Source organism: Homo sapiens, chromosome 2, assembly GCF_000001405.40.
Source record: "Homo sapiens chromosome 2, GRCh38.p14 Primary Assembly".
NCBI classification, from domain to species: Eukaryota; Metazoa; Chordata; class Mammalia; order Primates; family Hominidae; genus Homo; species Homo sapiens.
Genome location: NC_000002.12, coordinates 2017970 through 2045676, shown reverse-complemented (window position 1 = coordinate 2045676; position 27707 = coordinate 2017970). Strand labels below are relative to the sequence as shown.

Below are 27707 nucleotides of genomic sequence, written 5' to 3'. Positions count from 1 at the left end.
TTCACAGTACAACTACATGAGCAGAGGATAGGGAAATTGGGACATTTCATTGCTGGGAACTTATTTAAAATGCTTTGCATGCTCTCTTAAGAAAAAATAAATAAAATATGAGAGGGGTGAGCAAAAGAGGATCCCATCCACAGGCTATGAGGTTATTCATTTTATTTTTCTAATACAGTTTCATGAGCAGGTGGGTGGTTTTGATGATGCTCTATGAATTATTCAAAGCACTTGCAGACAGGAGTTTTGGCCCCTGCATGGCTCTGCAGGGACACCCCTCCCAGAGCCTCTCCCACCAGGCCTGCTGCAGGAGGCTTGCTGTTTCAGCACCTTAAGGAAGGGCAGGCAAAATCAATCGCAGTGCAGCAGTCTGCCTGCAAGAAGCCTGCCCCAGAAACTGTGATATCTGCACAGTGATGGATGAGGCTCATATCCTTGTCATTTCATGGGAGATTTACATGCATAACTCTCATTAGTGCTAATGGGAGTTTCTTGCATAAATCTTACATGCAGGAAGGTGAGAAAAACACAGTTTTCTTTTATTCCTCATAGACTTTCTGTTCAAGCCTTCATTCCTTCAGTGTGGGGGCTGCCCTTGGTCTATTATCAGGTACCTTGCACTTAAACTGCCATTGCTCCTCATTTACATGGAAATGGACCATAAACAGGGTTCTGAACTCACATGTTTAAACACCTCCTACTTGTGCCATCATCCTTGCAAGCACAGATATCCAATTAGTGCAACTGATCCAACAAATTTCCATGTGTCAGTTGTACCTGCTGTGAATGTCATTCTGTTCAGTGATAACAGGGCTTGCATCCCAAAATAGAGGTAGGGGTTGAGGCATCGGGAACACGGAGTCCTTGTTGTGAGCTGAATTATTTTTAAAGTGACTACAGACACCAATCGCTTTTAAAGTGCTGGCCTGTATACGAAACCAGGGTTGGGTTTTGGGGGAAGAAGGCTAGCCATGGCCCCCATCGCCCAATCACCATCTCTCCCCAAGATGGTTAATCATGGGTCCGTTTATACTATCAACGCAAATATTTAGAAAGACCTAGAGTCATTTCAAAGAAGACGTCTAAGATTCTAAGAAGGCTTTGTCTCAGGCTGCATCTAAGAGGAGAGACTCTAGCATTTTCAAAAGCCCGTTGCAGAGTTTTGTGCTGTGGTTCGAATGCATGTCATTTTCTTGTCCCATTGTACCACGATCAGAACTTCTGGGTGTCTGTTGCTGGGATGCAGGGAGTGTTGGTGCAGGAATTTGATACTCTATGGGCACACCATATCTGCATTTGCAACTTTACGCTTATGTAACTGCTGATAAAAGTTTATCTTGATAACTTCAGATATAGTTAGCTGTGACTGAGAGTGATGAGTGTGGTGTATCGTGACAGAAAGACTTTAATTGTAACTAAAATTGTGCAATGATTTATAGACAAGTATGAACAGTAGGTACTGTCTTGCCATTGTATATATCTATTTGTGTATGGCTAACATGGGAGTGCACAGGGACCTGTATCTGAGTAAGCCAAGACAGGTTAACAGAACATGTATGTACATTAATAGGAAAAGAGAAATAATAACACAACCACTGTAAAACATTCACCCAGAAAACTAATACTTTAATCAGTTAAATTAAAAATGAAAGAAAAGTACCTTTTGAACTCTCTCCTTACTCATTTTTTTTCAAAAAACAAATGTCTGTTTGATTGAATTCATCTCTGTCAGCCAAAATGATAAAAATCGTGTCTTCTCTCTAATCCATCAAATTCTCCATCAGTCAAAATTTTGCCTTATGTTTAATAGAGATTATTTGTAAATTAATATTTATTTTAGTCATGGTATGAACAATTTGAGAAGTTTTTATGTACCATATTCATGCATTCATTCACTCATTCAACAGATATTCCTGGGTTCCTCCAGGGTAGCAGGCCTGCTCCTGATGTGGGCAGCACTGGAGGGAGCAAAATAAAGATGCCACCCCTGAGCTCAGGGCAAGGAAGGGGGTGAAGGGAGCCAGTCACCCATGAGTAAGACATGGACCCATTGGGGGAGGAGGCCACACAGACAGTGGGCACAGCTCTTTCAAGATGTCTTGCAGGAGTGTCCAGGAAAGAATGGAAGGGGAACTGGAGGCAGTTGTGGCCGGGACTGTCCCAGGGGAGAAAGCACCGCGTTTATGAACTTGGAATAATGTAATTAAGTTAACAAACACATTGTAGGGTGTGGCTGCAATGTACAATGACTTTGTGTGGTTCTGAGGCCCCTTTTAATTTCTGCCATTGGTGAGAACTGATAACAACATAACAAGAAATTTCATGGCATTCCCATTGTAATTTACTGTTAATCGAAGGTAATATACTAGAACAAGGTTTCTGGAAAATAAATGAATTGTGTGACTACATTTAATACAAGGGACTAGGTGGCCGAGGCAGGGGTCAGGGATTGAGGGCTCAAGAGTCCTCAATTTTGGAGGAATCATCCACAGGGCATAGAAGCCATCAGGAATCTTTGCAGAGTGATTTTGGACATGATAGCTGTGAACCAGGGGCTGAAACCCTCAAAGAACGTGGGTGAGGTCCCCGGGCTTGGGGCCACATCAGGGTGTCGCTTTGAGTCTTAGATGAACTGAGCTTCACAGCTGACAAGTTTTAGGGAAACAGAGGAAGACTGGTCCAGAGTCCAAGAGCACACGTGCCACCCCCGGTGCAGTGCTGCTGGCACCAGGTGAGGGCTGCCGGAGCCAGTGTTGGGAAGACCCTGCCTGCAGGGAAGAGCAGGGGGGAAGGGCAGAGGGGAGAGAACATGGGCCTGGGAGGCTATCGCCTGCTGTCATGACATCAAGAATGAGGACAGGTGTGGTGAGAGCTGGATGCATGCCGGGCGTTTGAGGCTTAGAGACGAAGGGCAGATGCCTTGCTTTGGGAACAGATAGAGCAGAGCAAAGACCACATAGTGGCTCCAACCTCAGGGTGGGTGACAGGGAGGCCGGGACCATTGGTGCAGGGACAGGGCCTTTGTGTGGTTCTGAGGCCCTTTTAAATTTCTGCCAATGGTGAGACCTGATAACAACATAACAAGAAATTTCATGGCATTCCCATTGTAATTTACTATTAATTGAAGGTAATATATTAGAACAAGGTTTCTAGAAAATAAGTAAATTAGTGTGACTGAATTTAATACACATAGCATTGCGACTTTGAGCATGGAAATAATATAATTGCTTAGGATTAATAAATATGCTCCGTATCACAAGGCTTATTTGAAATTGTTTGCATTTGTCAGGGTTCTTCAGAGATCCACTCAAAGTTGCAAGACAGATGCTCTTCAATTTATGGTGGGACAACTCCCTAACAAACCCAGCAGAAGTAAAAAATCTCATAGTTGAAAATGCATTTAATCCACATAACCTGCCAAATGTGATAGCTTAGTCTCACCTGCCTTAAACTTGCCCAGAAGATTCGTATCAGCCTACAGATGGGCAGAATCATCTGGAGACAGAGTCCATCTTAGAGCATCTGGGGTTCATCCTCAGGATTGCGGGGCTGCCTTTGAGCTGCCCAGCCCCTCGAGAGGGTGCCCTTCCCTTGCCACTGAATGTCTCTGGCTTTAAACAGACTTACAAGAAGCAGGAGACACTCTGTGCTATCTACCGTCTTGAAAACAAAACTCTACTTCTAAGATTAGCTTAAAGATGATTTTTTTGGTAAAAGAGCTAGGGGTGTGGAGAGATGCTCCACAAAACTATTTCTTTATGGGACTTAGATTTGTAGTACAATCTCACTGGAAGGAAGAAACTTTTCTACAGAGAATCTTTGAGTTCAAAGGTTCTGTATATGATGGTTAAAGTAGGAAGATGGTTGTTATTAAAGATTTTGGCTAGATACAGCTGCAGATGTCTGACTTTAAAACCATCTGCTTAAGCTGCAAGATAGAGGTACCAGGCCCTTCCCTTCTTTCCGGAAAATCCATAATGAAACCAGAGAAATTTGCCTCCGGTGAGCAAGCAGAGGCAAAGGTCCTCCTGGGGCCGGCCATGGGGGACGGGCTCCTTCTGCAGGGAGGGAGATACCTCCAAACACTCTCTGCCCCAGAAGCATGAGGAGCTGGAACAGAAAATTTTTCTGATGTTTGGTCATTTGATAAGAGACAAAGAATATCTTTGTAAAACGAAAAGTAAATATAGCATGACCCAATCTGCAATTAATTCCAATTCAGCTTGCAAAGCACTGAGCAGCTCTTGGGCGGCTACTCTGAGTAGACCAAGACCCAGCAGGGTTCCAACTTCTCTCTCCCCCAGTAGCTTCCCATCTAGAAGGTGAACTTTTTCAAGGGAAAGAAGGCAATTTCCTTCAAGTAAAACACTTCATGTTGGATTTGCAATTGACCTTGACAAGACTCAAATGTGGCGATTTCACAATCTTCATCAGCTTTCATTAATAGTACAATTATGCCATATAATTTAACTTCCACCTTTCCCCAAAGCTGTAACTTAATTCAAAAGTTCAAGTTACCTCAAGCAAAATTATTAATGCACCAGTAATATATTTTTATATTTATCTGCTAAGTAACATTTTTCTGGATAAAATGTCAGGTAGTTTGCAATTTTACGTAAACACATTTTTATAAACAAATGTATCTTTCCAGAAAAGGCAGTGTAATAAAAGAAATTATTTTTCACCATGAGTTGTCCTGTTTCTCTTTTTGCCTTATTTGAGTGTTCCTATTTTTCTGCTTTCTAAGCACATTGGTTACTATGGAGATGGTGTCAGAATTAGCAATTTCAACAAATGCAAGTAGAAAAGTAGAAACCAGTTAATTATAGTTTTTTAACCTCAAATTGATATAATAATAAATGAAATTTTAAAAAATACACTTAATAAAACTACTTTTACTTCAAACTTTTAAATAATTACCCCCAAAATGACCAGCCCCCAACAATGATCCATTCTTCAGAAATTGACCAAAAAATTAAATATTGATGCTTTTTCCAAAATATCACATGTTCGTAATTTTCCCTGAAGAGTGGCCAAGTGTCTAATTATAAGGGCATATTTCAATTTCCATCCAGAACTTAAAAATGTGGATAACAAATTTACTTATAATTAATTTTCCTGCCTGAAAAGTAATTTCCAGCTGCATATGATAAATACACATTGCTCTACGAGGGAACTTCTGGAACGGGGACACCCTGGGTTTGGTCAGGGGGTCGCCTGCACCAGAGCCTCACACTGACTCCACAGAGCAGACATTCTCAGAATCGAGTTTTAAAGATTAATCTGCATGGATGATTTCTGTCCCTCCCTAGTTCCAAACTTTCCATCCTGTAGCCAAGGAAACTTGTCATAAGGACAGGCTGGATATGTACATTGCATGTACAAGAATGTATTGGGCACACGTAGAAATTCAGTCACTTATCAAGAATCCAGAGTACACGTGTGCTCAGCACAGTGTCAAGTGCTGAGGACACATCACTAGTTTCCAAATATACAGCCCTAGGAGGATTATTAAACCAGAACACCAGGACAAATGAAATGAGACTGAAATAGTAGCCCTGACACATATCGCCAGCTGTGATCAGCACATATTAAGATGGATTCCTAAATGCTGAGGGGATGTTGTGCAAGAGTCCATTCCTAGCTTCATTTCCCTTTCGCAGGCCCTCACGCATACACCTGTAGGCATGCCCTTTCTATGACTCTATCACGTGTTGTCCCTGCCTGTTTGTCATGTCTGTGTTCCCTTAGCCACCTCGCTTCTTGCAGCCAGGCATGAATAAGGGTCTCCTGGTTTGATCCATCTCACACACTTATACCTGCAGCCATTCCACGTGGAAGAGTCTTCCTGGCTCCTTCCCAAGTGTCATGTCCCTAGTCACACTCCGCTGAGTAAATTTTAAATGGAGGAAGCATGAGCGGGCTGATGCAGGCATGCCTGTGTGAGCTCAACTTCTATGCCCAAATGAACTCATCCTATTCCTCATCAAAACCCATCACCAGTCTTCTGTTAAAGTTGTCTATCTTTGATTTTGTTGATGGGTGGAGAACCTGTGACGTTCAAAGTCATATCCATTCTTTATCGTCTATCATGTTTTTCCTGAGCAATTCACACCTTTTCACCTTCATAAATTCACCTTTGAACATTCCTGCAAATGGTAAACTTCCCTAACAGTCAGGAAACGGAGGTTCTGACTAATTTACTAATTTATTGAACTGAAGATTTGTCCATAGACTACATACATCAAGGTCATATGTAGATTTTTTTTTTTTTGAAAGTGGGTCTCATTCTGTTGCCCTGGCTGGAGTGCAGTGGTGCAATCATAGCGCACTGTAGCCTCAAATTTCTGGGCCCAAGCGATCCTCCCACCAGGGCCTCCTGAGTAGCTGAGACTACAGGTGCCAGTCACCATGCCTAGACATAGGTAGAATGTTTATAAAATAGTCATTGTGAGATTGTGAGGGTCAAATACCACAATACATGTGAGAGAGTGTTGTGAACCATAATGTCCCCATGATTATTCCTTATCAATATTGGGGAAAATGCGCTCCGTGAGATTCTGTTCATTCCCCCGGTGCTTGCTGACTGCCTTCCATGTGCCAGTGCTGTTCCACGTACCGGGAAATTAGCCACATAACACAAGGAGCTAGAGGTGACAGTGCCTCATCGGCAGAGAGGGTGGTCAGTGGCTAAACAGTCACAACCCAGTGTGCCAGGGCTGTGGCGAAAGGAGCCACGAACACCGAGGAGGAGGGACCAGACCCTAGGGGAGGCCCTGGAAAGAGTGATGCCTGAACATAAGAAGGGCTGAGTTCAGAGAAGGGTGAGGGAGCTGCACATATGGGGAGCTGGGGTGTGGGTTCAGGATGGCTGATGTCCAGCAGGGAAGAGGGTGTGTGAGGGACAGCTGGACACATCAACCAGGGCCTCACCACCTGTGACCTTTCCACATGCCAGGGAGTTCGGATTGGGTTCCAGAGTGTACTGGAACCCACTAAAAAAAAAATTCTAAGCAAACAAGCAACGTCACATTACTTCTGACTGATGACTACACATAAAAAATCGATTTGAAGGGGAGATATTTGGTGGCAGGAACAGCAACTAGGATATGCTACAGAAATATTGACAAATAAACATGGCGTCCAGACAAGATGAGCCGAACTGGGCCAGTGGAGAGACGCCAGGGAGGCAGCGCTGGCCAACCATTGAGTAATGGTTGAAGGAGGGTGGTGATGGCAGGAAGGAGAAGTCAGGGGAATCCAAGCACCTGGCTTGATGTTAGATCTGATGGTGTCATTCACTGATGTGGGGAGAAGATAATGGGGTCACCTGAGAACAGGGTGAGATTCTACTCAACCAAAGACACACTTAAAATTGTATAATGTTGGATTTAAAAGACAACCCCAAACTCTAGCTATGGAATCCAGTTATAATAAAATAATAGTGATAAAAAGGGGCATGATTTCTAACAAAGTCAATCTTAAACAGTGCAGGCCATTCTAATAGTCCCGTGAGAGGCACACATCATAAAATAATGCCGTTTAATTCAGCGAGCACGTATTGTAGTCCCGGTCCTATTGCTCAGGTTTCTGTCCAAATGAACCCATGCTACGTCTGCATGGAATGCAAAGTTCACCAAGACATAGCTCCTCCTCTCAAAGAGTTTATAACCTAGTAAGAAAAGCAAGACATGGACACAACACAAGTGTTCATCCAGGCTGTGCAGAGTCGGTGCTGGGAGTTAGGGGAGGTTACACAGTGATTTGAGGATTCAAAACTATAGTTTTGAATGTATAGTTTTGAAAACTGTATATTTTGAAAAACTGTAGTTTTGAATATATAGTTTGAAGTGTGTAGGGGGTTTTTTTTTTGTTTTTTTGTTTTTTTGGGGGGGTTTTGTTTTGTTTTGTTTTGTTTTTGAGACGGAGTCTGGCTCTGTCTCCCAGGCTGGAGTGCAAGTGGCACAATCTTGGCTCACTGCAACCTCCACCTCCCGGGCTCAAGTGATTCTCCTGACTCAGCCTCCCAAGTAGCTGAGATTACAGGCATGCACCACCATGACCAGCTAGTTTTTGTATTTTTAGTAGAGATGGGGTTTCGCCATGTTGGCCAGGCTGGTCTTAAACTCCTGACTTCATATGATCTGGCCACCTTGGCTTCCCAAGGTGCTGGGATTACAGGCATGAGCCGCCGTCCCTGGCCCAAAGCTACAGTTTAAAAAAAAAAAAAAAATCAACTGAATCTGATTACTTGTTTTCCTGGACAAGAGAACCACCATCATAACTGGAGAAATAAATGATTTCAAGTCTCATTAGCAACAGCAATACCCCAAAGGGCGTCTCAGCCATGCTCTGTGCTGGGTGATAGAGATTCAATGGGAAATAACGTGGGCACTTTCCCAGTTACCGTAGAACTTAGAAAGGTTGGCAGAAACCAACAGACAGACACATAAAACAATTGCATGTTGTAATAAGAATATCGTGCAGGCAGCAAACAGTGTGGTGAGGAACAAACGAGATGGCAAATTTAGTCTAAGTGGAGTGATTTGGAACTGCTTTTCCAAGGAAAACCACAGCTAGGCTGAGGCTTAAAGTAAAGGAGTCAGCCCTAAGCGGGGGGACTATTTCAGGCAGAGGGAACAGGAAGGACCCTCGGACACTGCTGAGCCAGGTGTATTGGGAGAACCAAGGGATGCCTCTGTTGTTGCATCACTCACTGGCTGGCATCAGGGAACAAAATGAGACCAGAGACCAAGGAAGGAGCCATGTCCTGCAGGGCCTGGTGACAGGCACAATGAGTCTTAAATTGAAGTGTGGTGGAAGCTACTGGTGACTGCAAAACAAAAGGCTGCCAGGGACATGTTTATGTCTTAAGTTTGATGCTTAAACAGATTGGAGATTTGAATGCCAAGGTGCTGGAATGGCAGTGGAGAAACCAATTAGAAAGCAGCTGCATTAGTCAGGTGAGCGATGATGTAGCTCAGACTATGATCATTGCATTGATCAACAAAAAAGAATTCAAGATATGTTTTGAAGATAAAATCATAAAGACTCAGTGATATGGGGGACTGAGAGGAAGGAAGACTGAAGCGTGGCTGCCGAGTTTCTGCCATGAGGAGCTGTGTGGATGGGATTCTATTGCCTGGAAAAGAAGACATCAGAGAGTGGAGATTGTGGGGAGAAGTTACGAGCTCTCTTCTGCACCCGCATTGGAGGGTGGAGATTGTGGGGAGAAGTTAGGAGCTCTCTTCTGCACCCGCATTGGAGGGTGGAGATTGTGGGGAGAAGTTAGGAGCTCTCTTCTGCACCCGCATTGGAGGGTGGAGATTGTTGGGGAGAAGTTAGGAGCTCTCTTCTGCACCCGCATTGGAGGGTGGAGATTGTTGGGGAGAAGTTAGGAGCTCTCTTCTGCACCCGCATTGGAGGGTGGAGATTGTGGGGAGAAGTTAGGAGCTCTCTTCTGCACCCGCATTGGAGGGTGGAGATTGTTGGGGAGAAGTTAGGAGCTCTCTTCTGCACCCGCATTGGAGGGTGGAGATTGTTGGGGAGAAGTTAGGAGCTCTCTTCTGCACCCGCATTGGAGGGTGGAGATTGTGGGGAGAAGTTAGGAGCTCTCTTCTGCACCCGCATTGGAGGGTGGAGATTGTTGGGGAGAAGTTAGGAGCTCTCTTCTGCACCCGCATTGGAGGATGGAGATTGTTGGGGAGAAGTTAGGAGCTCTCTTCTGCACCCGCATTGGAGGGTGGAGATTGTTGGGGAGAAGTTAGGAGCTCTCTTCTGCACCCGCATTGGAGGGTGGAGATTGTTGGGGAGAAGTTAGGAGCTCTCTTCTGCACCCGCATTGGAGGGTGGAGATTGTGGGGAGAAGTTAGGAGCTCTCTTCTGCACCCGCATTGGAGGGTGGAGATTGTTGGGGAGAAGTTAGGAGCTCTCTTCTGCACCCACATTGGAGGGGGGAGATTGTGGGGAGAAGTTAGGAGCTCTCTTCTGCACCCGCATTGGAGGGTGGAGATTGTTGGGGAGAAGTTAGGAGCTCTCTTCTGCACCCGCATTGGAGGGTGGAGATTGTTGGGGAGAAGTTAGGAGCTCTCTTCTGCACCCGCATTGGAGGGTGGAGATTGTTGGGGAGAAGTTAGGAGCTCTCTTCTGCACCCGCATTGGAGGGTGGAGATTGTTGGGGAGAAGTTAGGAGCTCTCTTCTGCACCCGCATTGGAGGGTGGAGATTGTTGGGGAGAAGTTAGGAGCTCTCTTCTGCACCCACATTGGAGGGTGGAGATTGTTGGGGAGAAGTTAGGAGCTCTCTTCTGCACCCGCATTGGAGGGTGGAGATTGTTGGGGAGAAGTTAGGAGCTCTCTTCTGCACCCGCATTGGAGGGTGGAGATTGTGGGGAGAAGTTAGGAGCTCTCTTCTGCACCCGCATTGGAGGGTGGAGATGGTTGGGGAGAAGTTAGGAGCTCTCTTCTGCACCCGCATTGGAGGGTGGAGATGGTTGGGGAGAAGTTAGGAGCTCTCTTCTGCACCCGCATTGGAGGGTGGAGATTGTTGGGGAGAAGTTAGGAGCTCTCTTCTGCACCCGCATTGGAGGGTGGAGATTGTTGGGGAGAAGTTAGGAGCTCTCTTCTGCACCCGCATTGGAGGGTGGAGATTGTGGGGAGAAGTTAGGAGCTCTCTTCTGCACCCGCATTGGAGGGTGGAGATTGTTGGGGAGAAGTTAGGAGCTCTCTTCTGCACCCGCATTGGAGGGTGGAGATTGTGGGGAGAAGTTAGGAGCTCTCTTCTGCACCCGCATTGGAGGGTGGAGATTGTTGGGGAGAAGTTAGGAGCTCTCTTCTGCACCCGCATTGGAGGGTGGAGATTGTGGGGAGAAGTTAGGAGCTCTCTTCTGCACCCGCATTGGAGGGTGGAGATTGTGGGGAGAAGTTAGGAGCTCTCTTCTGCACCCGCATTGGAGGGTGGAGATTGTGGGGAGAAGTTAGGAGCTCTCTTCTGCACCCGCATTGGAGGGTGGAGATTGTTGGGGAGAAGTTAGGAGCTCTCTTCTGCACCCGCATTGGAGGGTGGAGATTGTGGGGAGAAGTTAGGAGCTCTCTTCTGCACCCGCATTGGAGGGTGGAGATTGTGGGGAGAAGTTAGGAGCTCTCTTCTGCACCCGCATTGGAGGGTGGAGATTGTTGGGGAGAAGTTAGGAGCTCTCTTCTGCACCCGCATTGGAGGGTGGAGATTGTTGGGGAGAAGTTAGGAGCTCTCTTCTGCACCCGCATTGGAGGGTGGAGATTGTTGGGGAGAAGTTAGGAGCTCTCTTCTGCACCCGCATTGGAGGGTGGAGATTGTTGGGGAGAAGTTAGGAGCTCTCTTCTGCACCCGCATTGGGAGGGTGGAGATTATGGGGAGAAGTTAGGAGCTCTCTTCTGCACCCGCATGAAGTTGTGGGTGTTCATAGAGATGCCGAGTCGGCTGGACATAACTTTGAGGATATGCCTGAATTGTGTCGATACCGACGTTTTCTGCTTAGCTCCTTTCCCTTCAATGTCCCTACGACTTACTAACCAGCTTCTTAATCAATAGGGATTTAATGAGAAAAATGAAGTGACCTGTGTACAGTAACGAAGCTACTTAGTCTGGAGTCTGGAGAGAACCCAGGCCCCTAACTCCCACCCTGGCATGTTTTCATTTCTTAGGTTCTGGAAATTCAAGTGCATTTATTTGTCGGAATTGAGCTGACCCTCTCTGTAATGCACCCCTTCTCATTACCATGACTTGACTCTAGAGTGAAATGCACCTGGGATGTGGGAAAGCATGTGGCATCGCAGCCCCACCACAGAAGCTCCTGACAAGGGCACAGCCAAGGCACAGTGCCATCCTGTCCCCAGGGGCCGTTGGGGCTGCTCCAGGCACCATGTCCTTCAAACATGTCTGAATGGGGACAAAACAGCTGGGGATTGCCAATCACCGTCCCTGGAGAGTTGATTTAATAGATTCCCCTACTCCACCCACCTCTATTAGAATGTAATGACCTCAAATCAAATTTCGTGAGCAAGGTGAAACCCAGATTTTTTTTTTTTAATGTTTGTTCCTGATTTCACCTTCACATATTGCAGAATGATTTTCCTCTTAAAGCCAAAGTTCTTTTCAGGGAGTAGCATTGTAAGTAGACTAACCTGGCGTGCCCCCAGGTCCCATCCTGAGTTCTGCCTCGTTGCCATAGGATGAGAGGCACTGGCGAGCGGTGTGTATAAGGCCCTCCTTCTCGAATCTGCTCTGGGCCACAGGATGAGAGGCACTGGCGAGGGGTATGTGTAAGGCCCTCCTTCTGGAATCTGCTCTGGGCCACAGGATGAGAGGCACTGGCGAGGGTGTGTGTAAGGCCCTCCTTCTAGAATCTGCTCTGGGCCACAGGATGAGAGGCACTGGCGAGGGGTGTGTGTAAGGCCCTCCATCTAGAATCTGCTCTGGGCGACAGGATGAGAGGCACTGGCAAGGGGTGTGTGTAAGGCCCTCCTTCTAGAATCTGCTCTGGGCCACAGGGTGAGAGGCACGGGCGAGGGGTGTGGGGTGTGTGTAAGGCCCTCCTTCTAGAATCTGCTCTGGGCCACAGGATGAGAGGCACTGGCGAGGGGTGTGTGTAAGGCCCTCCTTCTAGAATCTGCTCTGGGCCACAAGATGAGAGGCACTGGCGAGGGGGTGTGTATAAGGCACTCCTTCTAGAATCTGCTCTGGGCCACAGGGTGAGAGGCACTGGCGAGGGGTGTGTATAAGGCCCTCCTTCTAGAATCTGCTCTGGGTCACAGGATGAGAGACATGGGCGAGGGTTGTATAAGGCCCTCCTTCTAGAATCTGCTCTGGGCCACAGGATGAGAGGCACTGGCGAGGGTGTGTGTAAGGCCCTCCTTCTAGAATCTGCTCTGGGCCACAGGATGAGAGGCACTGGCGACGGGTGTGTGTATAAGGCCCTCCTTCTAGAATCTGCTCTGGGCCACAGGATGAGAGGCACTTGCGAGGGGTGTGTGTAAGGCCCTCCTTCTAGAATCTGCTCTGGGCCACAGGATGAGAGGCACTTGCGAGGGGTGTGTGTAAGGCCCTCCTTCTAGAATCTTCTCTGGGCCGCAGGATGAGAGGCACTGGGGAGGGATGTGTGTAAGGCCCTCCTTCTAGAATCTTCTCTGGGCCACAGGATGAGAGGCACTGGGGAGGGGTGTGTGTAAGGCCCTCCTTCTAGAATCTGCTCTGGGCCACAGGATGAGAGGCACTGGCGAGGGTGTGTGTAAGGCCCTCCTTCTAGAATCTGCTCTGGGCCACAGGATGAGAGGCACTGGCGACGGGTGTGTGTATAAGGCCCTCCTTCTAGAATCTGCTCTGGGCCACAGGATGAGAGGCACTGGGGAGGGATGTGTGTAAGGCCCTCCTTCTAGAATCTGCTCTGGGCCACAGGATGAGAGGCACTGGCGAGGGTGTGTGTAAGGCCCTCCTTCTAGAATCTGCTCTGGGCCACAGGATGAGAGGCACTGGCAACGGGTGTGTGTATAAGGCCCTCCTTCTAGAATCTGCTCTGGGCCACAGGATGAGAGGCACTGGCGAGGGGTGTGTGTAAGGCCCTCCTTCTAGAATCTGCTCTGGGCCACAGGATGAGAGGTACTGGCGAGGGGTGTGTATAAGGCCCTCGTTCTAGAATCTGCTCTCGGCCACAGGATGAGAGACATTGGCGAGGGGTGTATATAAGGCCCTTCTTCTAGAATCTGCTCTGAGCCACAGGATGAGAGGCACTGGCGAGGGTGTGTGTATAAGGCCCTCCTTCTAGAATCTGCTCTCGGTCACAGGATGAGAGGCACTGGCGAGGGGTGTGTGTAAGGCCCTCCTTCTAGAATCTGCTCTGGGCCACAGGATGAGAGGCACTGGCGAGGGGTGTGTATAAGGCCCTCCTTCTCGAATCTGCTCTGGGCGACAGGATGAGAGGCATTGGTGAGGGGGTGTGTATAAGGCCCTCCTTCTAGAATCTGCTCTGGGCCACAGGATGAGAGGCACTGGTGAGGGGTGTGTGTAAGGCCCTCCTTCTAGAATCTGCTCTGGGCCACAGGATGAGAGGCACTGGCGAGGGGTGTGTGTAAGGCCCTCCTTCTAGAATCTGCTCTGGGCCACAGGATGAGAGGCACTTGGGAGGGGTGTGTATAAGGCCCTCCTTCTAGAATCTGCTTTGGGCCACAGGATGAGAGGCACTGGCGAGGGGTGTGTATAAGGCCCTCCTTCTAGAATCTGCTCTGGGCCACAGGATGAGAGGCACTTGGGAGGGGTGTGTATAAGGCCCTCCTTCTACAATCTGCTCTGGCAGCTTTGCTGTTTGACCATGGGAAAACCCACTTCATCTCTCCAGTTAACTAGACCTTATCTGACACTCCATCCTGAGCACCTCTCCCAGCCCTCTTTCATGCAAGCTTGCCTGTGGCTTCATTTCCGTATCACAGCCACTGTGAATTCAGAAAGATTTTGGACAGCTCTGAGCATCCAAGGTGCCCTGAATCCCAGTGATGTTGACATGCCACATCTCTAAAATGTGCAGAGAAATAAATTTTAACTTCTGAAGTTAAAGAGTTGTTTTGCTGAAATTAGAGTAAACATGCTGTTTTTGGAGCTGGTGATGAAGGGTGCATAATTTCAGAAAGCTGTCATGCACACGCTTAATACAAACGCAAAATAAGTATGTCCTCACAATGTGAGAAACCAGAAACTAATGCTTTAGACAAAATTTAATACGGACTTTATTAAAACCCGAATCAATTTTAAGAAGTGAAAAACAATTAGACTGAGTATATATGAGCACCAAATTTTACAGTCATTCTAGTTAGAAGTCAAAATAGGACCACTGGCTGCACAACTAAAATGATTACACATCATATCAGTGTGGGCTGAGACATAATTCCTTGTCACCTGTATTGTACTTACAGGCAGGTTTTACCAAATTAACAAATTTGGTCTCAGGAAACTATTGAAGAAAACTGCATTTGTCACTCTTTCATAATTTGTAAGGATATACATTCAGCTTACACATACATTTCTAGTAAAACCAAAAATAAAGTATCTAAAATTGACATGTTTAAATTATAATGAAGTCAACTGCTTTCTCTTATTTTTAAAAAATCTTAATCACTCATTACAATAGCTGGCAAATAATAGGCATTCAATTTTATTTAGAGAATAAAAGAGTATACACATAACAAATGAACGAATGAATGATAGTTAAGAATCAGATGCTTTAGAGACAAAACAGGAATCTAAATTTAAAACTTCACTTATATTTAAAACTCCTGCCTGTAATCCCAGCACTTTGGGAGGCTGAGGCGGGTGGATCATGAGGTCAGGAGATCGAGACCATCCCGGCTAACATGTTGAAACCCCGTCTCTATTAAAAATACAAAAAATTAGCCAGGCGTGGTAGCATACGCCTGTAGTCCCAGCTACTCGGGAGGCTGAGGCAGGAGAATCACTTGAACCCAGGAGGCACAGGTTGCAGTGAGCTGAGATCACACCATTGCACTCCAGCCTGGGCGACAGAGCAAGACTCCATCTTAAAAAACAAACAAACTAAACAAACAAACAAAAACAATTCCTCATGCCCATCACCAGGCTCTACAGGACATGCCTCCTTCCTTGGTCTCTGGTCTCATACTTTAAAATACACTAAATTGTACATTAGCCAGTTGTTGCTGTAACTGGAACTCTATAAGAAGGTAAATTATTCTCAGGAGCCCTTACATTACAGGTAAAAAAGTTATATAAATTATAAGATATGCAAATAAAAATGGCTAAATATTAGCTATTATTTTTTGACTTTGACAAATATGGTTTTGGTCCATATAGAATGATATGCAAACAATGATAAAATGCCAATAACTTTCTAAATTATATACAGACTTTTCAGTTAGTAATTTTGAAGGTAACATTGAATATATTTTCAGTGAAATACAACCTGGATTATTGTATGTACATAAACCTAATTTCAAATCCAAGTCATTTCATGTGTGGAAAGCTATACTGTGTGTGTGTGTGCAGATGTCTGTATCTGTCATATGCACATCGATACGGCTTTGCTGTGTCCCCACCCAAGTCTCACCTTAAATTGTAACAACCTGCAAGTGTCAAGGGTGGGACCAGGTGGAGATAATTGAATCATGGGAGTGGTTTCCCCCATACTGTTCTTGTGGTAGTGAATAACTCTCATGAGATCTGATGGTTTTATAAATGGGAGTTCCCCTGCACAAGCTCTCTTGCCTGCCGCCATGTAAGACGTGACTTTGCTCTTTCTTCATCTTCCGCCATGATTGTGAGGCCTCCCCAGCCATGTGGAACTGTGAGTCCATTAAACCTCTTTCCTTTATAATTACCCAGTCTTGGGTATGTCTTTATTAGCAGCATGCGAATGGATGAATACACACAGGCATACACATGTGTATGGACATGAATATGTTAGACAGTCACGAATGTCATTCACTAGTCACTTTAGCCCAAATATTTGCCTTGTGTAATTATAGTTCAATAAAATATTACCTTTCTCTTTTTGATACATTTAGTCAGATTCTTTATTCTGAGTTGTTAATACCAAGATGCTAAACTGAAGCTTTTTAAAAAGTTCTGTAATACTTGAGTTTAAAAGAATTTTAAAAAGCATTCATCCTAGTACCTAATTTATAGTACGGATACCGAGGCTTAGAGAGACCAAGTGATTGTCTCAAAAAAGGTGTCCTTTAACCATCACTTCCTCACAGAAGCCCCCCAATGTGTCCCCCTCATTTTCCTGGTTATGATGTTCCCCTTCTGGGCCTCTTAACAACGAGTTAATGAATGTTTTTTCCTTTGCGTCTCCCATTGGATGGTAAGATCCTTGAAGACATAAAGTGCTTTGTCCTGATGTCCCTAGTTCCTGGCACACAGGATGGTTCCCAGGAAAAGTCTATTGAATCAATGAAAGATGGTTTTATTGACAAATCAATGTTTGTGGCCATGTCTCCAATACTAAGTCTGATCTTTATCTTATACCATACTCCTGACAAGAGCATATTTCAGAACCATGATGATAATTTTTGTCACCATACACAAAATATTACTTCATTTTTTTTAATTTCCTCTAAAATTCTCCTTTCAAGTGCAGAACTCAGACAAAATCTGTCATTTCAGTGTCTTGCAGAACCTTCATTTTCTTTTCCTACTCTGCCACTACATAGATTCCTAGCCTCCCTCTTGTCACTATCTGACCTTCAAAATGATAGGACTGTCGATCTACTATTCAGTCCCTTCAATTCTGCCCCCAAAGTTTCAATCCTGACACTGCTTTAGGCATAAGTGTAAGAGGTCCCTGGGCATGAACCCCACAATCCCACAGCCTCCTGCTCTTTCCACACCAGGCTCCTCCTGCAGAGCCTGAGCCTGGTTTGGGCTACGAGCATGTGCTCACTCCCTGACCAAGCTGATCGGTGCTGGCACCAAGCACTGTGCCAGACCCAGATGCTAGACCAAGGGGCCCATGCCCTTCATTCTTCCAGCATCTGCTCTGTGCTTGCCTGAAGGAGCAGGGCAAAGCATGAGTCAAAAGCTTATTGGCTAAGCATTGCAAAGTATTCAGGTAAGCATTGTTCTAGGTAACTCAGCATTATGACCCCACATGTGATAGAACTCACCTCTACAAGACAGCAAAATTGAATATGAGGAAGCATCCAAGCAGAAACAATAATAACACAGTGACATTCTTCAGTTTTACATTTGCTTATGGCTCCTGAGCTCTAAAGTAAAAATCACCTTAGCTGCCATGTATAATGAGCTTTCACTGCAGGAGCCCTTGGCCACTGACACCCTTTCTAAATTGGGCCACGCCACATCAAGCCAGGCTGGTCTGACCTTCCTCCCTTGATCACTCAGGCAGGTAAGACTCAGAGATGTCACCCAGGTGGCCCAGTATCGCCCAGTAATGGAAGCGCTAAGTTAATGAATGTAAACCCTTTGTTAGCTTTGCCAAATACCCTCTAACCAGCCTTTTAGTGGGTATTCTTTGGTCATTATATTGCATCTTTTCGTACATGATGTCATTTCTTAATTTGCATTTCTATGATACATTAGAATAATCAATTCATATTTGACAGCTAATTTTGTTGTGTAATCTTGACAACGCTATTCTACACGTTGGCTTATTTCCCAGAATCCGGTCAGTACATCATCCCCATGAATCCAAGAATGGCCGGGGGTCATCCGGCAGCGTCTGTGCCTTTCGCCAACCGAATCTCCCTTTCAGAGACCTTTGGTATCTTGTTCAGAACATGGACTGGCCCAGCTGTTGCCTGAGTTTAAGCCTGTGGTGGGCTACAACACAGAGTAGGGTGCTCCACGTGCAGCTGTTGCTGGGCTGGGCAGAGAGGTGCCTGGAAGCACTCACCAGCCGGGAGGGTGCTCTGCCTCCCGGGGTGGAGCTCTCCTGACTTCTGGCCAGCTCCAGATCCGGATCCGGATTCGGATCTCCCAGATGAGGCAGCTGCACCTGCCTCTCTCAGGGGCGGCTCAGTCTGTGGCGGCAGCGGCGATGGGGGGTTCACACTGAGGCAGCTGTGCACGGCTCATCTCTCTTCCTCTCCCCTTTTGCTGGAGGTGGCGAGGGGTCCAGGTGGAGCGATCCGATGTGCCCCCGCCTGGACGCTGCCCTTCTCTGGGCGTCACTTGGGGCTCTTGAGCTTTGTCCTGTGGGCTCCGCTGGTCGTGACGGGGCCCCACACTCAGAGAAAAGCACCCCGTGGCCCCAGGATAACCCCACAGAGGCGAGCCTTCCACTCCCGAGGAGAGGGGCAGGTTTTCTCAAGACCCGCCCTCCTGGTGTTGAGGGGCCCCGCACAAGGCTATGCCAGTGTTCAAGAACATTCCACCAGAAAGCACCCTGGGGTGGCTGACTCAGGAGTCCTCTGAGGAGCGGGCCCCGCCCTGGACGGAGAGGTTCCCTGTACCTCCCGGGCCTCGGGGAGGCAGGCAGAGGCCGCACTGGGCACCCCGCCCTCCTGCAGCGAACCTTGACCTGCAGAACAACCTCCACCACGGGCATTTCCTGTCCTAGGAAGCCAGCGAGGCCTGAGAAGCCGCTTTCTTACTAACGCACTGAGCTTGTAGTGGGTGGTGAGCAATTAGCTGGTTGGCTGCTATTGTTGGCGTGTGTTTAGCTGAGAGACAGCTTTCTGTCTGCGGAACAGTTGGGCCTCCCTCGGCCCGGGCCACCCCTGCTAGAATCCCTGCAGGGCTGCCAGGATCCACAGCTCGCAACCCAGACCCTCCAGTCTCCCTCCTGGGCACGGCCTTGGGACACCCGGTCTCTGAACCCTTCTCCTCAGTCTCCTCTGGTGCGGGCAGAGATGGGCCGGCCCCAGCAAACCTCTCACCCACGTCCCCCGCACACCCTTGTCACACAGTGGAGGGGACAGACTGGGGCCACGTCATATGGCATAGGGTGAAGCCGTAAAAATGTGTTTTTAAGTTTTAAGAGGTGTGTTTAATGGGGACAGTAACACCTAGGCCACAGTTTTATTATAATTGTTAAATAAAGCTTCAAGCCCTAGACCCCTAACTAGAGCATGGCACATGGTGGTACTGAGGGAAAGTCTGTTAAATGAACAATAACAGGACCAGGCAGCCAGGGCTGGCCCTGCTACTTTGAAGCACCGATTAGGAGGAGAACTTGGCACTGGATGTTTGGTTTTCTATTTCTTGCTGAAGCTCTGCCTTTGTCCCAATCAGGCACATGATTAGTTCAGATTTTGCTTTTGCTTCATGTATCTTGTTCTGAATATTGAGTTTGAGTATAATTGCAATAGGTCACACTACCTTTTTAAAAAATTCATTCAGTGTGCAGGTTTGGGAGCTGGGGGTGACAGGAATGTTATATGTAAATTTATGTAAATGAGTATGCTAATGTCCCTGTGTTCTTGCATTGTGTTTCGGTGAACGAGTCCCTTGTCACACTGTCACAGGTGAGTCCACCAGGGAGCTGGGTGCACCACACGTGCTCAGGAAGACTTGGGCGTATTGATGTCCCAGCTTAAAACAATCTGATTACTTTTCTCAAAGGATCTCAGAAGTTCCCCTACACTATTCCAGTGGAGGGGGAATATCACACACCACTTATCTCCCAACCTAGCTGTCTTTTTATGGGAAAATCACTCTGTATGTTTCTTACAGATGCTAATTTTAAAATTGACTTTGATTCAACAAGTATCATTTGCTGCTGTTTGGTGTGAAATACCAGACAAGATAAACACAGCACAGCCCTCACATTCAAGGACCCTGTAGACTGATAAACGGGAATCACAGTAGAGAGGGAGCTGGTATCCCCAGACCAGGAGGCTATGTGTAACTGTTTGTTCAGGGACTCACTCCGGGAGCTTGAGGAGAGCAAACCGAGGCGGGGCACGCTGCTGTGAGTTCCAACTGCTCTGTGAAGCCCAAGGCTTGGAGGCAGTGCTGTGGCCAACCTAGGGAAGAAGCAATGCCAGGGAGCCAGGGCCCCACGCCTCCTACCCTCCATCCAGGGCCCCTGAACTTCCATCTATATTGGGTTTGCCTATAAAATTAAAAACACAGAACATGTCCACAGTAAAAAAGAAAAAAATCACTGTACAAATGGTTCAGATGCAGTGGGGGCAATAAAAACAGACCCACGGGAGCCCAGTGAGATAGTACAGGCTGGGACAGTCAGGCCTGGGCACGGGCAGCTGTGGTGGGACAGGCGGAACGCGTCCACGCGGTGGGAGCTAAGTCAGAGCTAAGGCTGAAAAGATGCAGAAGCCCTGCAGTTGGTTGAAAATGAAAAGGACAGAGGGAAGACTCAAAGGTGATTTTCTGGTTGTAGGAAGCTGATTGAGAACACCTTGATGATATTGACAACAGGAGGAAGTCAGAATTGGTGGACTGCGGCTGGCTATGGAAGGATCTTAGGATGAGCTGTCACTGGGTGCCTGCGTGGGGAAAGTAGGCAGACACTGGAAATTTGGGAGTAGAAGCTTTGGTAGGAAAAAAACCAATGGCAACAACAAAGCCGGCCTGGATATAAAGCTTTATGAGTTGTTTAATTAGAGGTAGAAGTTAAATTCCTACAGTGAATGAAGTTGCCAAGGATGAAAGTAGAGGCTCAAGAACAGAATCTAGGAAACATTTTAATTTGGCAGAGGAAGGAATAGAAAGAGCAGCTTGGAAATTATCAAGTGAATTCTGTCAGCCACAAGGGGAGGGAATTTCAAGAGCAATGAAATGACCAAGCCAACCAAATGCCAGAAAGAGCAAGGCAGAACCAGAGTGTGCACCTGCACTGGGCGGGTTTGGGTGCTGTGTTATTTTGTTTGTTTTTTTAATTAATTTTGTTTCTAATCAACACATAGTAATTGTAAGAATAAGTTCTGGTGTTCTATTACCTTGCAGGCTGACGCTAGCTAATAATAATGTAGTATATATATTCCAAGACGCCTACAAGAGGGATCTTGAATGGGTGCCTTTTGAGAATTAATTTTAGTAAGAGTAGTGGCAGAAGGTAGATAAAATATGTTAATTTTTAGATTATAGTCAAGATAAAAAATTTCAGAATTATTTGAAATTGGCATTTGTTTTGAGAGAAGTATTTTAAAAATCAACGTAAAATATCTTCTCGGAAGAGAGTCCAAGTTTTCCAGATATAAAGAAAGCAAGCTGGCAAAGTAATTCTGCCCTAAATTTTTGTTTGAATTGAGGGGCTTTAAAATTGGGTAATTTCAAAGGTGCCTAATCCAGTGAACACCGCTCAATCTTATCACTGCATTATAGTTCTCTCAAAAGGAAGAGCCCACCCCAGAAAACACATTTTGCATTGATTTTAACGTTAATGCTTGAAAGAGTTCATGCCCACAGACAAACATTCTTCTGTATCAGAGGGCCACGTGGTCCAAGGCTGCGTCCCTGAGAAAGAGAAGAATTCACTTCGTCGAAGAGGAAGACTCGCTAGACAGCCTTTCCAGGTTGCTCCCCATCCAACTATTCAGTCCTCTATGTTGTTTGAAAAAAAAAAAAACAGCAAAAGCCTTGTGCCGCCAGGGCAGGGGAGCTGCTCCGAGTTCTGCCTCTGTGGGGTCCTTCAGGAGCCCGTGCTGGGAGCTTCCCGTCCACACCCACTGGATATTAGGCACTACCCAATCTGTTGGTGTAGGCTTATGCCAGCCTCCTGAAGTGGAGAGAGAGAGATTGCCCACACAATTTTGGGCGGAGCTCAGCCGAGTTCTTCACACACGCAGGCCAGCCAGAGGACCATCCACAGGCAACATCCAGGCAGCTCCTGGGAAACAGGCTGCCCCCTTCTCTAATGGACATTCTGTGCACAGCTGAGATGAACAGTTCATGCACGAGTCTATGCAGTCCAGCCCAACACTCCTCTGAGGGAGGCAGCTGGTGTCTAGGATTCGGTAAAGTGCCCACACTGGCCATAAAGGTGACTCAGGCCCCCACCCTGATGTCCCTTCCACCTCTACTCTTTTTTCTTTCCCATCAAGATGACCTCACAGTGTCTTTCCCTGGGGCGCAGTTTAAAATAGCCTGACTCACATCTACTCTGTTTCATTGACAAAGATGTGGGCAGCACACCTTTGTCAGTATCACAGGCTAACCCAACAAGTATCATGAAAGATGCTTTCTTTCCTAGATGGTGAAGAAAATTTACCCTCTCCTGGGCCATGTAGGTGAGTCCTGAATGTGACTGACATTTGACATGCTGGCCTCTGAGTATCTGTGGCCAGTTCTGAAAAGTAGTTATTTAAGATGAAACGCCTCCGCCAGTATTTGGTCGCAGGTAGGCAGGTGACCCGCCTTCCATCACATGTGCCTGAGTTGACCATATCAATTTGCAGGCTGTTGAATCATTGTTTTTGGAAAGATAAATACGGACAAAGAACTGACATTGTGCACCCACATATTGTGTACTTTTCTTTTTTTTTTTTTCAGAGCAGGAATGGAAGTGTATTAAAAAGCTTTAGAGCAGGAACGAAAGAAAGGAAAGTACACTTGGAAGAGGCCCAAGCGGGCATCTTGGAGGTCAAGTGCAGCATTTGACCTTTGACTTAGGGTGTTATCTGTTGGCATACTTCCAGACCGGAAAAGGTCTGTAGGTTAATAGATGGAACAGGAGAGGTTGAAATCTCTCTCAATACTTGTATCATCATTTAAAGGTAGAATTTGTGTATCCTTTTGTTTAAAAAAAATACCTAAAATTAATGCTGTGGAACTCTGAGCCTGCCAAGGAAAACACTGTCCCATAAAATAAGGGCATTTAAATTTGCATGAGAAGATGTTAACCAGCACAGAGGATGGACTGTAGCTTGTCAGACCACTTCGAGGTGGGTACCGGAGCTCTCTGGGACATGTGCTCCTAACCGTGAGGAGAGAGAAAGAATCCACTTGTACCCTGGCAGAAATCCCTCCCAATTTGGAAGGAATCCTGCATAGCCTCAGTAGATGTGTGCCTGTGGGGTTGCCATGGCGAAGTAAGGCCATATTTAACCAACATTCTGAGGTTATTCCTTTTACGAACAGTGTGCTGCACCCACTTGCCCGAGGGAAGTGCAGCAGACATACACAAGATGTCGTCCTTGCAGACTCCCGACCCTGAGATTTTTCAGCCCCTTTTGTGCTGGCTTACACTCAGGACATTTTGGAACTGCCACTTGTGTCAGTGACGTCTGCTGTGCAAGCATGATGTCTTGGTCACAGTGGCATCTCAGTAAACTTACACTTTTTTTTTTGTTTTTTGAGATGGAGTCTCGCTCTGTTGCCCAGGCTGGAGTGCAGTGGCACGATCTCGGCTCACTGCAAGCTCCGCCACCCGGGTTCACGCCATTCTCCTGCCTCAGCCTCCTGAGTAGCTGGGAGTACAGGCACCCACCACCACGCCTGGCTAATTTTTTGTATTTTTAGTAGAGACGGAGTTTCACCGTGTTAGCCAGGATGGTCTCAATCTCCTGACCTCGTGATCAGCCTGCCTTGGCCTCGCAAAGTGCAGGGATTTTAGGCGTGGGCCACCGCGCCCGGCTGGTAAACTTACACATTTAATGAATGCAAGTAAAAGTCATCTTCCTTGTCCTCTAAGTTTCTTAAGATCAGAAGGGCCCCAGATAAGTGAAAATATGACCCATGTCCTCATAAATGTTCTCCAATCGACCCTCACTCCTCACCACCTATTTTCCAGATAGAACAGAAAGGACTAGGCCCCAGAGGGCTGTTTAAACATAAGCTATGTCATTTGCTCCCTACATAAACCCTTTAAAAGCCTCCTGCCACTGCTAGAAATCAGCCTGGACATGTCTGGGGCATCAGCCTCCCATGTCAACCTTCCCCTGCCCACCTCCCACCTTACTCCACCCCTGCTCTCTGCAAATCCCAGGCCTCCTGTTTACTCCTTGAATCTGAATCCCTTTCTCCTGTACCTGTGCACCTGCTGTGTCCTCAGTCTGGGCCTTTCTTGGCTGGTTTCTCAGGCAGTAGGAACCCAATTATCACTTCTTTAGAAAAGCCTTTCACCCTCCTAAGCTCCCCACCCTTCTAAAGCAGCCCCTCCGGGAGACCGTCCAGCCAGCGTTGCCCGTGGTTCTCTTCTCAGGTGTCTGCCCATCGTCACTTACTAAGCAGAGAGGGACCCTGAGGACGCAGACTCACCTGTGCAGTTCACAGCCTTCTGCTGCAGGAGGGAAGGTCCTCGGTCTTCTGGAAGGAGCTGCTCAGAGGCAGCTGGGGTCCCTGGAGCTATGCTAACTGGGTCAGGTTCCTGTTTTACATCAATCCCAAATAAACTTTGGCTAATTAAAGATCTACATTTTGAAAATCAAATATATGCAAGGATTAGGAGAAAATCCTGGAGCCTGTCTTTTCCCTTAGAATAGGAAAAGCCTTCTTAGGTGCCACATACAACGTAGACATTACAAAAGACTGATGAATGTAAGTAGATCAAAGTTTAAAACTTAGGAACAAGAAAAGTTTGTAAACAAAGCCAAAAGACCAGCAGTAAACTGGGGGAACTATGATATGAAAAGATTAAGTATGCAGAGTGCATATAAACAATGTAATAAAGATGAAGGAAATAGCTACATCATAGAAGAGGAGGTAGACATGTCTAGGAACTACCTATTCTGACTCAGATAATCTGTCATACACAAATACACCATGAAATCAGCAGTCAAGTGAGATGTAACCCCACACTGGCAAATGTGTTCGTGAACGTGCGCCTTCCTGTGCTGAGGATAAATTCATGAGAACACTCTGAAGGGCGACTCCTTGGCATCTGGAAATTTTAAATAAATCTCTACCCTTGAGAAATATAGGTATGTGTGCATGAGAAAGAGACACATACAAACATTTTATTACAGTATTGAGTGTTTGGTGAAAAATAGGAAAAGAAACCCTGAATTTATATCAACACGTGATAGTTTTATAAACTGATTGTAGCTATACTATGGAATAACAGCCCCCACCAATCCTGACAATCAAGCTATAGCTAATTACACTGGCGGCTGGGCATGGTGGCTCACACCTGTAATCTCAGCACTTTGGGAGGCTGAGCTGGGCAGATTGCTAGAGCTCAGGAGTTCAAGAGCAGCCTAGACAACATGGTGAAACCTCGTCTCTACAAAAAATACAAAAATTAGCCGGGTGCAGTGGCGCACACCTGTAGTTTCACCTACTCGGGAGGCTGAGGTGGGAGGATCCCTTGAGCCCAGGAGGCAGAGGTTGCAGCGAGCTGAGATCTGCTACTGCACTCCAGCCTGGGTGACAGAGCATACCATATCAAAAAATAAATAAAATAATTACACTGGCATGTAAATGTTATCAACTCAAACTGAAAAAAAAATAGAAGAATATTTACAGTATAACATTTATGGTAAAAAATGAAGTAATTCTAGCATTTCCATATGTAGTAGGACTAAGGGTGTGGCAGCCTGTGTGTGAGGTTGCATGTGTGCATGCATGCATGTAGATACATGTAGAGCAAATATAGAAAAAACTAACAAAGGTGTTTGCCTGCATGGCAGAGAATGACATGGATCTAAAGGAACTTGAGTGTTATCCATGAAGTCTGAACCCCCCACACTGAGAATATATTTATGTATCACTTGAGATAAGTGGACTTGGGGTTAGGGCCTCTGGGCTTGGATACCAAATCTGTTCTCTTGTCTGAGTGGCCTTGGGCATTGTATAAGTCTGTTCTCATGCTGTTAATAAAGACATACCGAAGACTGAGTAATTATGAGGGAAAGAGGTTTAATTGACTCACAGTTCCACAAGGCTGAGGAGGCCTCGCAATCATGGCAGAAGGCAAGGAGGAATAAGTCACATCTCGCATGGTGGCAGGCAAGAGAGTGTGTGCAGGGGAATTCCCCTTTATAAAACCATCAAATCTTATCAGACTTACTCACTGTCACAAGAACAGCATGGGAAAGACTCGCCCGCCATGATTCAATTACCTCCCACCAGGTCCCTCCCACAACACATGAGAATTATGAGAGCTACAATTCAAGATGAGATTTGGGTGGGGACACAGCGAAACCATATCGGGCATGTTACTTGACCTTACATAAGTCACCAAATTAATTTCTTTTTGTGAGAAATGGAGATAAAGCTAAATTTACACAGAAGCCAGCATCTAGTATTGTACTAAGGTGGGAAGATATTTCTTACCCAAGTCAAAACCATCCTCTCCATCTGTCAACTCACAAATCAGCGGCTCCCCCAGCTCTATGTAATATGCCCACGTGAGTGTAGACAGGTGGAGAGCAGCCCTCCTTAGGAGGCGTTCTCTCTCTGGAACTCAAAAACGAAATGTAGGTGGTGTTGAGGAACTGCAGGGCCTCTTTCCCAGCCTCCTATACAAACATTGGGCTCACCTTTCTGGGGGAGTTGTTGATCTCTGCGTGAAACAGGAGAATCCATTGACCAAGTGGAGAGGACACAGTCCAAGTGTTCAGGCCCTGGATCCCCTGCTACTTCCTGAGGGTTTGAGGGTCTAATCACTCCTCAACTTTGCATTGCTTTGCAGCATGCACCATGCCATAAACGGCGGAGAGCAGGAAAGGCTGAATCCGATGAGCGGCCTGGCCGGGCCTCAATCTGACCCAATGTCTTCAAGATTCCCTCCTCCACAAAAGGAGCACTGGAGCACATGACCCAGTGAGAATCTTGCTCTTCATATTGGCCCATGGGTTGCTAAGTTACTAGTGACCAATGCAGGTCCTTCCATCCCTGTTCCTTTGTCTCTCCCTCTGCTCCTCTGTCTCTCCATGGCCACCATCCAGTGGGATGGCGGGAGGGCTCTGGGATGCACCAAACTCGACCTGCAACCCAAGGAGATGGCCAACTTCATCTTCTGCTATGACCTGAGTTAGTGTCTGAGGGCAGACAACAGACAGAGAAACAGACACTAGGCAAGAAGGTCTTATTCTGTCTGCCCTAGAATATTATTAAGTGAGGAAAAGAGAAAGAAAAATCAAACCTGCTTAGTGTCATCTGAGATTTTAAAAGTAGAGTCCACTTGCTTTGGGTCTATACTGTCTTCTTTATGCAGGCTTTACTCTTTTGAATCCATGTGGAAAATCAATTATGTACGTGTGTGCGTTTGTGTGTGTATAGGATAAAGGCACGAATAGTGAGAAATAAACTTAATTTTAAGAGTGTAGTGCTTGTGTACAA

At 46.4% G+C, this 27707-nt stretch overlaps 1 protein-coding gene across 32 annotated transcripts in view, besides 3 other annotated features; it reads left to right on the top strand.

Annotated features, from left to right (window-relative positions):
* Nucleotides 1-27707, top strand: part of MYT1L (myelin transcription factor 1 like) — a 542163-nt gene that overhangs the window by 285599 nt on the left and 228857 nt on the right. The gene's annotated exons all lie outside the window — the stretch shown is intronic.
* Nucleotides 18876-19692: an enhancer, noted in NCBI's record as "H3K4me1 hESC enhancer chr2:2029757-2030573 (GRCh37/hg19 assembly coordinates)". NCBI's record gives its function as "activates a minimal SCP1, AML or CMV promoter by ChIP-STARR-seq in naive H9 embryonic stem cells {active_cell/tissue: H9 hESC(naive)}" and the evidence as "EXISTENCE:reporter gene assay evidence [ECO:0000049][PMID:30033119]".
* Nucleotides 20129-20628: an enhancer, noted in NCBI's record as "H3K4me1 hESC enhancer chr2:2028821-2029320 (GRCh37/hg19 assembly coordinates)". NCBI's record gives its function as "activates a minimal SCP1, AML or CMV promoter by ChIP-STARR-seq in primed H9 embryonic stem cells {active_cell/tissue: H9 hESC(primed)}" and the evidence as "EXISTENCE:reporter gene assay evidence [ECO:0000049][PMID:30033119]".
* Nucleotides 20629-21130: an enhancer, noted in NCBI's record as "H3K4me1 hESC enhancer chr2:2028319-2028820 (GRCh37/hg19 assembly coordinates)". NCBI's record gives its function as "activates a minimal SCP1, AML or CMV promoter by ChIP-STARR-seq in naive and primed H9 embryonic stem cells {active_cell/tissue: H9 hESC(naive and primed)}" and the evidence as "EXISTENCE:reporter gene assay evidence [ECO:0000049][PMID:30033119]".